At 40.7% G+C, this 10,136-nt stretch overlaps 1 annotated feature.

Annotated features, from left to right (window-relative positions):
- Positions 2,152-3,114: an enhancer, noted in NCBI's record as "OCT4-NANOG-H3K27ac hESC enhancer chr8:91591610-91592572 (GRCh37/hg19 assembly coordinates)". NCBI's record gives its function as "activates a minimal SCP1, AML or CMV promoter by ChIP-STARR-seq in naive H9 embryonic stem cells {active_cell/tissue: H9 hESC(naive)}" and the evidence as "EXISTENCE:reporter gene assay evidence [ECO:0000049][PMID:30033119]".

Here is a 10,136-nt window from a genome sequence, read left to right as displayed (position 1 = left end):
CAGGCATCTTGATGTCAATATGAGGCAAGTCAGTGAGTCAATATTGAGTATTAATGAAGTCTTTAATCTGTTGCTACAAACTGCAGCTTGCACCCCTACACGAAAGCTCATTAAGCCAGAGACACAAGAAGTCCAGAAATATAGAGCATTGGCAGTGATGCCACAGACTCACGTGTGCAGGGAAGATAGCATGGAACCTTGCTACACTTGAACCTTAGTAACTCTTTAGGTGACCATTGTGCCATACACAGCAGTAAACCAGGACATGACAACCAATACGCCTGGCAGTGTGGCAATGGAGGCAGAGGTTTATAATCACTGCCTATAGCTGGATGCCCTTAAGCTGTTTCATTAGCTCCACATCATACTCCTCCCTCAGCTACCACTGCCCTTGTACTTACAGCTACATGAACAACCGTGTGTTCCAGGCACTCAGATAATATATGATCTCCTGTTACCTTACCATAATCCTAAGAAATAATTTTATTTTATCTTGCTATAAGGTAAGAAATCTAAGGCTCAGAAAATAACTTGCCTGAGGTAACCCAGCTGGTGAGTGGCAGAGCTGGAATTCAGGCTTAGGTGTGTTAGTATTTAAAATGTTCCTATTCAGCCTGTTCAGGGAATAATCATTGTCATTTATAATACCAACTTAATCACTGTCACTGCCCAGTTCAGACATCTCAAGATTCAATACCATCTGACCTACTTCTTTTAGGAGAGTATTTACAGGTTTTCTGCAAAATGTTCTCCCACCCCTTCCAGCTATCCTTACCATTTCATTAATATTATTTTTTCCCTCATAGTGCTATTGACTGCAGCTTAGCTCTGGGTTCAAGGGCTTTCATGAGAGGGCAGATAATTATGTCCACTTGGAATGTGCTGCAAATATGCCTCCTGATTTCTAATCACCAGCCCAGGATGATTGTCTTTGTTTTTGTCAGCGTGACCTAGCTGGCTTGCCCCTTTAAAAGCTGCAGATCTGGAGTCACAGAGATTTGGGTCTGAACTTGTTTTGTGTAGGAACTTCAGTAGTTCTAGGCTTGCACAATGGACAATGACAAGATGGGTCTTAGCATCACTGGGGATAAGGATCTAACCACCACACTGCGCCTTCTTTCTTTTGGCTCACATTATAGGATTTAAATCAAACAACCATATGGACACTCATTGTGGTAGCCTGAATAATGGCCATTTATGTTCATGTTCTCATTCTGAAAACCTGTGAATGTTACCTTATATGGCAAAAGGGACTTTGCAGATGTGATTAAGGATTCGAGGATGAGAAAGATTATCCTGAAATATCTGGGTGGATACTAAATGTAATTCCAAGTGTCCTTACAAGAGAAGGCAGAGGGAGCTCTGACTACAGAGAAGGCAATGTGTTGGAAGCCGAGAGTCATTTCAAGAGGCTATGCTACTGTATCTGAAGATGAAAGAACAGGCCATGAGCCGAGAAATGTAAGGAATGCAGCTTTGAAAACTGGAAAAGGCAAGGAAAGGGATTCTCCCAAGAGCCTCCAGAGGGAGGGTAGCCTGTCAACACTTTGACTTTAACCCAGTGAAACTAATTTCAGACTTCTAACATTCAGAATCGTAAGAGCATAAATGCGTATTGTTTTAAGCACCACATTTGTGTTAATTTGTAATGATGCCGGTGGGCTGCGGGAGGCCCCCAAAACACCAGTGGGACCTTGACCCCGGCTGGTGTCCAGGCTTTTGACATCATTACAAGAAGGAATTCAAGGATAAGTCAGAAAATAGTGAAAGTATAGAGATCTATTGCAAAGCAAAGAGTACACACTCAAGAAAGGGGAGTGCTGGTGTACTCATGAGAGTTGAGTTGTGCCAGAGGGTTTGGGGTTTCTGCTTTTATGGGTTTCTTTAACCAATGGGTAGAATATTCATGAAGATTCCTGGAAAAACTTTAAGATTTCTCGGAACTGTAGTACCACCCATTTTTTACACCAAATATGGGTGTTTCCAGAACTGTCATGGCCCTGGAAAGGTGTGTGATTTAGCATGGTAATGAGCATGTAATGAAGTTCTAGGTGAAACCTAGGTCAAATCCAGCACCATGTTGGGTCCAGTCGGTCTAGCCAGCTTGGACCACGCCCTTGTTCTTCGGGGTCTTATCAGCCCCTCGCTTATGCAGCTATTTCAGCAGTTTCCTTTTGCTTAGTCATGTGAAACTGCTGCCTGGAATTTTCTTTTCTCCTGTGACCACCCTGTATTATTCCTGCCTCAGTCAGAACAGCCATAGGAAACCAATGCACTCATATTTTGAACTTTAAATAGAATGAGGCTAAGATATCTGAAATGTTATCATTTTTTTCTTTTTCATCAAGACAATTTCAGGAAATAATAACTCCTTCACAGCATTTCACTCAGTTTTACTAATAAGTGGCTGAGTAATTGTCACTGGCAGCCCAGTAATGGATCTTAAAATAATACACAACTCTTCTTTTGAGGAAATGTGTGAGTTAACATGGGTCACAAACTTTGTCTTTTAATATTCTTTCCTCAGTTGACATAATGCAGTGGGTGTCCTACGTTTGCAAGAAACGGCAGGGGGAGTTCTTGAGTGTCCTTGAGAATAACCCACTGACCTCTTAGTGCTGAGGCTCAGGCTGCAGACCACAAATTTATCTACTTGTGTGCATTTCCTATTACTCTCTTCTGTACACCAGGTCTCTATTAGCTGCTTATTTCTAGCATCTGGGCCAAATTGTAAGTCTGGGAAAATGCTGAATAGCCCTTCGCAAAAGTGAAGCAGAGGAAAGGTTATCAAAGAATGTCAAATAAATGTGCATACTAATTACCAGTCTCTTTGGTTTTTATTATGTAAACCAGTTGGAATGTTATCCCTGCTCCCCCGCTATCCCCCATCATACCTTCTTGTGTCTTTTAGGAATTTATATTCAAAACCTCTATTCCAATTAGACTTCACAAAAGACCTTTGGATTCAGCTACTTTCCTTTTCAGATTTCATTCTCAGGAGAGTGTAGTTAATGATAGCAGATCAGCAAGTGGATATTTTAGAGAGGTTCTTAGGCTTTGACCCAGTTCTGCTGCTGCTCAGATTTCTGAGTCCTACCTGGTACTTAGCCAAAAGTACCTCAAAACCACCTTCCACTTAGCCATGGTGATCTCAGGGCTCCATGGTGCTGGTTTATCTTAGGCTAGTACCTTACTGATGAATACACTCTGAAAAAGGAAACACAAAGATGTCTTCCAGCCTTATTTAAAATGACTTGTTGCAAGATGCCACTTTGTTCTTTGTGGCAAGTGATCCTAGTTTAAGAACATCAGTTTTCCAATTTGACTAGGAGTTATTTGTTGGAATGCAGAAATTAATGATTGAAAATTTTTTCTTCAATAATGTTTATGTGAAGATTTGCTGTTGCCTCAAACTTCCTAATAAAGACATTTGGGACAAATGGAATTTTGTCCATATTTGAACCTGCTATCAGTTAAAGCTTTAGAGTTCGTATACATTTGGGTGTTGTTTTTATGGTGCAAGTTGAAAAGCAGTTACTGACTGTAGAGCTAAACTTGAAGTTGCCTGCTCTCCGTGGGTGGTGAGTCCTTTTCATAATTCATTGTGTACACACTTCAAGTCTCAGTGGAAATCTAGGAATACTAAGAAGTAAAAGACAAGATGCTTGGCTAGCAGGTCGAGTATTTGGGTAAGCTTAGCTAGGTTACAGGGAGCACTGGCTAGAAAGAAGGGTTCAATTCTGAGAAGAAACTAAAAATACAAAGAAAAGAGGGGGACAGAGACACAAGTTCAGATGAGGCAGGAGGGCTCAAGGAAGGTTAAATTTGTGACAGAGGAGGGGTACAGTCATGGAATTAGAAGAGAAAGGGAAAAGGTGGGATTAAGTGTTGATTTGCTAGCTTTTGAAATGAGAGTTGAGGGATTTCAGAGGGTATCTATTTCAGTGAGGAAAATACAAATGAGGTTCGAATTTGAAGAGGGGAAATTTCAATACAGTATTTGTGAATAATATGGCAGAAAGTCAATATTTAATGAATGAAAATGTTGTGGATCAGAATGAGAGCCAGGGTGAGGCTGCATATCACAAGTCTGTAATAAAACAATCCGTTAGGCCATAGTGTCCAAATCCAGGTTTCCACACCCTTGGGTCTGTGGACCTTGTGCCTAGGATACATGTGACCATGGAACATAACACATCTTCCTCTAGTGTCAATTTTACTTGGAACATTTGCAGTGAAATTGCAATTGCTTAGATCAATATTTTAAAAATCATTTTAATATAGAAGGATAGGATGAAAATCAGGTTTGTTAAATTTTTAAGGTAAATGAGAAACTTCAAACAAATACTGTAGTAAGCCTTTTTTTTGTTCTTTTCTGTTTTTCTTTGCTTTTTTAGAGATGGGGACAGGGAATCACTCTGTCACACAGGCTGGAGTGTAACGGTACAATCATAGCTCACTGTGACCTTTAACTCCTGGGCTCTAGCAATCTTTCCACTTCAGATTAATCAGTAGCTGGGCCTACAGGCGCACACATCACTACACCCAGCTAGGTTTTTTTGCTTTATTTTTAGTAGAGACAAGGTCTTACTATGTTGCTGATGTGATTGGACTGTGCCCCTATCCAAATCTCACCTTGAATTATAATGATCCCCACGTGTCAAGGGCAGGGCCAGGTAGGAGATAATTGAATCATGGGAGTGGTTTCCCCTATTCTGTTCTCATGGTAGTGAATAAGTCTTATGAGATCTAATGGGTTTATAAATGAGAGTTCCCTGCACAAGCTCTCTTGCCTGCTGCCATGTAAGATGTGACTTTGCTCCTCATTTGCCTTCCACCATGATTGTGAGGCCTCCCCAGCCATGTGGAACTGTGAGTCTATTAAACCTCTTTCCTTTATAAATTACCCAGTCTCAGGTATGTCTTTATTAGCAGTGTGAGAACAGACTAATATGGTTGCCCAGGCTGGTCTTGGATTCCCAGACTCAAGTGATCCTCCCACCTCAACCTCTCAAATTGTTGGGCTTGCAGGCATAAGCCACTGATCATGACCCAGTAAACTGTTCTGAATGATAACCACAACCATCTCTGGGAGGTTAAGGGCATCTGTTCAAATCTCTTTTGCTATTACAGGAAGGCCTGTGGAGAAGTTTGAGAAGCTGGGGTGTTGATCTTCCTAAGTGTAGACAATGTGAGCAGGAGCAGAGAAAACAGAGGGTGGGTTTTTCCCTATGATTGGCAGCAACCATAGACCAAAGAGATTTAGGATTCAAAGGTGCTTGTGTAAGGCACTACAGGGGTTCTTTACTCCATGGGATAAAGTGATTCTCATAATCCCTCTGATATAGATGTTATATTATCCCCATTCCCTCTGATGTAGATGTTATATTATCCCCGTTTTAGAGATACGGAAGCTGAACTTCAGAGTGGTGAGCAATTTCCGTAAGTTACACAGTTGATCATCAGCAAAGAAAACTGAGTATGGTTGGAAAGACTAAAGGCTCACAAGACTAGGAGGCAACAGAGGAACTGCAGGGCTGGATGAGGCAAAAGCCAGGGTCAGCAGGAGGCAGAGGCTGGGCCATGCAGAAAGGTGGCAAAGGGAGGCACTGTTATTTATTGGTTGGTCGATGCCAAAATCATAGCTTAGATTTAACAAAATTCTGTAAGCCCCATTCAAAAATTTCAAAATGGCTCTAAACCTCCATTCAGCTCTTCAGAGTGGCTGCTCCTCTGTCTCCCATTTCTCTTTCCCAACCAACAGAAATTCTGCGATGATGCTGAGGTTTCCTCCTTCTGTTGTATGTGGATCACACATTATACAGACTTTAAGAAACCAGAGTAAATGACACTGGATTAGTTCTAAGTAGCTCAGTTACTTCTCTACCCATCCATTTTGGAGAAAGAATAAACTCTGGCAAATTGTATCTTCCTGCTTCTCCCTAATAACATAAATATATACACATACACTATATATACACACATATATATATACACTATATATGTGTATATATACATATAGTGTATATATGTAGTGTGTATGTATGTCTATATACACTATATATAGTGTGCATATATGCATATATATACACTGTGTATATATATGTGTGTGTGTATATATATATACACACAGCACCAAAGATTTGGAGGCCTATGAGAATTTGTTACCCCAGCTACACAGCACTGAGTTTTTTGCGGTGTGTGCCCAGGCTCTTACATTACTTTAAAAGACTTTTCCAGGTGAACATTAAAAGAGACCTTTTTATTCTGTTGGGGATTTAAAATCATTGTTGTTGTGCATTTAATATGTATTTCTTGAGCACAAGCTACATTTTCAACATTCTGCTACATTTTTATTTTTGGAAAGGCCTCAAGAGACTTATCTACAACTCAGGATCAACTTTAACTGCTACCTAGTTTACTTGGTGAGTCAGTCTTGAAACCATTTGCTTTCTGATAGATGGAAATTCTAAATTAGTAGGGTCAAATATACAGGGAGTTTTTAGTAGCCCTGGTTGGTCCAGTTTGGAATCTGGTGTTTCCAGAGAAGCAGGATCCAGTGTAGGAGTTAGAGGACTCAGGATACTATATGTGAGCTAAAATAATGTGTGCAGTAGAGCTGGAAGATCACAGTGAAATTCTCACATATTAGGGAGCTCAGAGATGCAGATGGTGTGCTGGAAAATGCATTCATGAGCTGTGTGCCAGGCAGATGGGAGTCAGTCAGGGCAGCTCCACCCTTAGGCAGGATTCCCTTCCTAAGTTCAACTCATCAGCAGTAGCAGCTGCAGATTAAAAACAGACATGGCAGCTCTGTGTCTGCTAGCCCCACCCTTCTTCCCTACCCCAGAGAGGCCCTTGGGTCTATATATTGAATGATCCTTTCAAAATATCTCCTTTTGACATGAGATAAGCCTGGCAGAAAGAAGAGGGAATACTGATTAGAAGACCTTGTCTCTCGTGAGCTCAGAAGATTTCTTTATTAAGAACAAGGAGCAATCTTGGTGCATTGTCTTGGAACCAATATTTCTAGATTTTTTTTTGATATATTTTATCCAAACAGTGGAGGCTGATCAGAGGAATGTGACTGATTTTCAGAGTAGGCAAGTTAATTGTTAACCTAATACAGAATTGGCTAACCTAACCAGTGTGAGTCTGGATGGACCAGGAGGCCCTTACCCCATGGGAATCAGTTTTCTGATCAAAATAATTTTTGTGATCATTATCATTTAGCTAAAGGCAACATGAGCTAGCTTTTCATGGAAAATACTAAAAACGTAAGTAAGGCTAAGACGTGAATGATTCGTGATGGTATTTTGAAGTCAAGTTGGTAAAAACTCAAAAATTATTGCTATTCAAAAATAGTATTGCAGAAATGTCCTGGGGAACATAAACACCGAATTCATAACGTACCGTCATACAGACATTTCAGGGGAATGGTAGCAGTATGATTTAAGCAACAATGGCAATAAAGCCTCCAGGGTTCTCTTGTCCTTCCCATCAGAGATTTACACAGCAAGTCTGAGGATGTTTTTACAGGCAGTTTGGATATTTTACCAGAATGACTTTCCCTTTCATGGATTCGAAGGAAGGGACAGACACATGTGCATGCCATTTGTGCAGTTATTGAAGTTAAATATTCTCTTTAGGAGGATGCAGCATTCATTAAATATCACGATATGTGAACTATGTTCCAAGCAGTGGACTAACTGAACATCTGCTTATTCTGTTTTTCAATCATTAAATGGAAAGAGGGTGTGTAGGGAATAGGGCAGTGTGAAGATGGCACTAAGAGGGAGATACTCGGAACACAGGGCAAAATGGAAACAGCTTCCTCATGTTTGGGCAAATTCCAGTATGCTTAGGATAGGAAATTTAGAAACCAGAAGTATAGCATGGCTGGGAAATTAGATATCAGAGTTTGTTTTAAGTCTGTTAACACAGATATAAGTGGAATTTAATATTTAAACTTGTGCTTATATTTACTAAACCAAGTTAAGAACATAATGTGTTTATTTTTTTGAAAATGAGAATTACCTTTATTGATTAAGGCAGTTTTATTGTGAGCAACTACTGTTATCTCCCCAAACTCTGTTCACTCGCTCCTTGGCTGAGTGGAAATGCTTTTTCAGAAGTTGAATTCATGCAGCCTTCAATTTTCTCAATTCTTTGGAGAGGTCCAAGTGGCAGATTGTTTTAGGGAAGGCAACAGTTGGTTGACAGGCAGTGGGTCACTGAAAGTCAGCCGTAAGGGACATATCACTCAGCCTCTTGAGGTCCACCCTCACTGGGTCCTGCAGCCCTGGTGTCCTTAAAGCACCAAGCACTGTGGCAGCAGGATGCCTCTTAAATCCATCCCTCTTCAGCTCATGCCCCACTTTAAAGCAAAAAGCAATATATCCCTTGTCCTCACTGTGGAATTGACCTTTAATGTAACAATTTGTTCTAAATTTAGACTTCACCAACTTTACACTGGAGACAGAGATTGGATTATAATAGCAACTATTTAACTTTTGTTAATCTGTGGCATTCAAAAAGAGAGGTTGCCTCCCTTGAGCAATTTGCCATCTAAAAGGAAGAAGGAAAATTTTAATGGGAAAGGCATTTTGACTTTTATACTCAAAAATAATTTTTAAGTGAATAACATTTAATGTGATGATGACAATGACAAAGAGGAGGAGGAGGAGGTGGTGGAGGAGGAGGAGGCGGAGGAGGTGGTGGCACTGATAGGCATTCTTGCTATGAGCCAGATACTATAAAAGGCTATTTACAGGGGCTATGTCTTTTAACCTTCAGATTAACCTCATGAGGTCTCTCCTAGTGTTTTAGTTTGCAAATGAGGAAACTGAGATTTAAGATTACCTTGCTGAAAGTCCCACAGCTGAAGAACAGTGGAGCAGGAGTCAAACTCAGGCCCATGTACACTTAACCACTGCATTTCGCTGTTCCTGCTTGTCATGGTTTTCAGGTTGAAGGAAAAGGGAAGAAAGGATACTACCTTAATAAATATAGAAAAGCATCTAGAAACAGGAAGAGAAAAGAGAAAGTCAAGATGTGAAAGGAAGAAAGATAGACTGAGAAAGAATAGAAGTCAAAGAGGAATAAGAGTAGGGATGTAAGGCAGAAAGGGTCACCAAATCCATAGCATTTGGGCAGTGTGCATATAGCACAGGGTGCTGCTGGAACAATAGGGAGGTCTGGATTCAAATCCTGGCCCCTCTTCTTATGGGTGTCTTCCTGTGGTGCGCTATTTAATCTCTGGGGCTTGTTTCCTCAGGGGCAGCTGTCTGTCAAGTTTAAAACCCCAGCTTTGTAGCAAGTTCTTTCACCTATCTTGTAACTCAGGTTTCTCATTTGTGAAATGGAGATCAAATTAGTACTTATCTCACAGGGTGATTGTCAGGATTAAAAGGTTATATGTAAAATGCCCAGAACACACATGGTGTGTGCTCAATAAAGATTCACATTGTTGTGTGAAAAATGGGAGTCTCAGTGTTGGGCATCATTAGAGGATTAGATACTAAATTCAGAGCATAACCTAAAGACTCAATGAGCTATTAGCATTTCTTTACTGAGGCTTAGATCTTCCTTTCTTCCTTCCTTCCATCCTTCATCCTTACCTCTCTCTCTCCCTCTCTCTTTCTCTGCTTCCTTCCTTCCCTCTCTCCCTCCCCCATCCTCCCTCCCTCCCTCCCTTCCTTCCTTCTCTATCTTTCTACCTTCCTCTCTCTTGTCTCTATCATTCTATTTCCAGCCCTTAAATCAATGTTTGCAGTCATTTTGAGTTGAACCTTTAAAAAGCTGGCTTTACCAAGGTTACTTCTAATCTCTGCATGTAAATCTTCTCAAGACCCTTGCCCTCAGTAAACCAGTTTGACAATTTAGCTTTAAAGGTTCAGATTAAGGGATACAACTTGCCTGTTCCCACCACAAAGCAAATACAGAGCGAAAGCAGGCTAAAGATCTGAGCTGACCTCTGCCAACCTGTGGCAAACTTACCTAAGCCTCACATTGGAATCTTTTATTTTTATTCAGTGTGTTATGGAGGACATATAAGTCAGATTGTGATGGAGAGTTGAAGCAAAAGACGCCCAGAGGGGGAAGTGGGAATAAGAGCTACAGATGAAAGCAGAAAG

The sequence above is a fragment of the Homo sapiens genome, chromosome 8 (genome assembly GCF_000001405.40).
Source record: "Homo sapiens chromosome 8, GRCh38.p14 Primary Assembly".
Lineage (NCBI taxonomy): Eukaryota > Metazoa > Chordata > Mammalia > Primates > Hominidae > Homo > Homo sapiens.
Note: the sequence above shows the minus strand (reverse complement) of the source record. Positions and strands in the feature narration are given on the sequence as shown.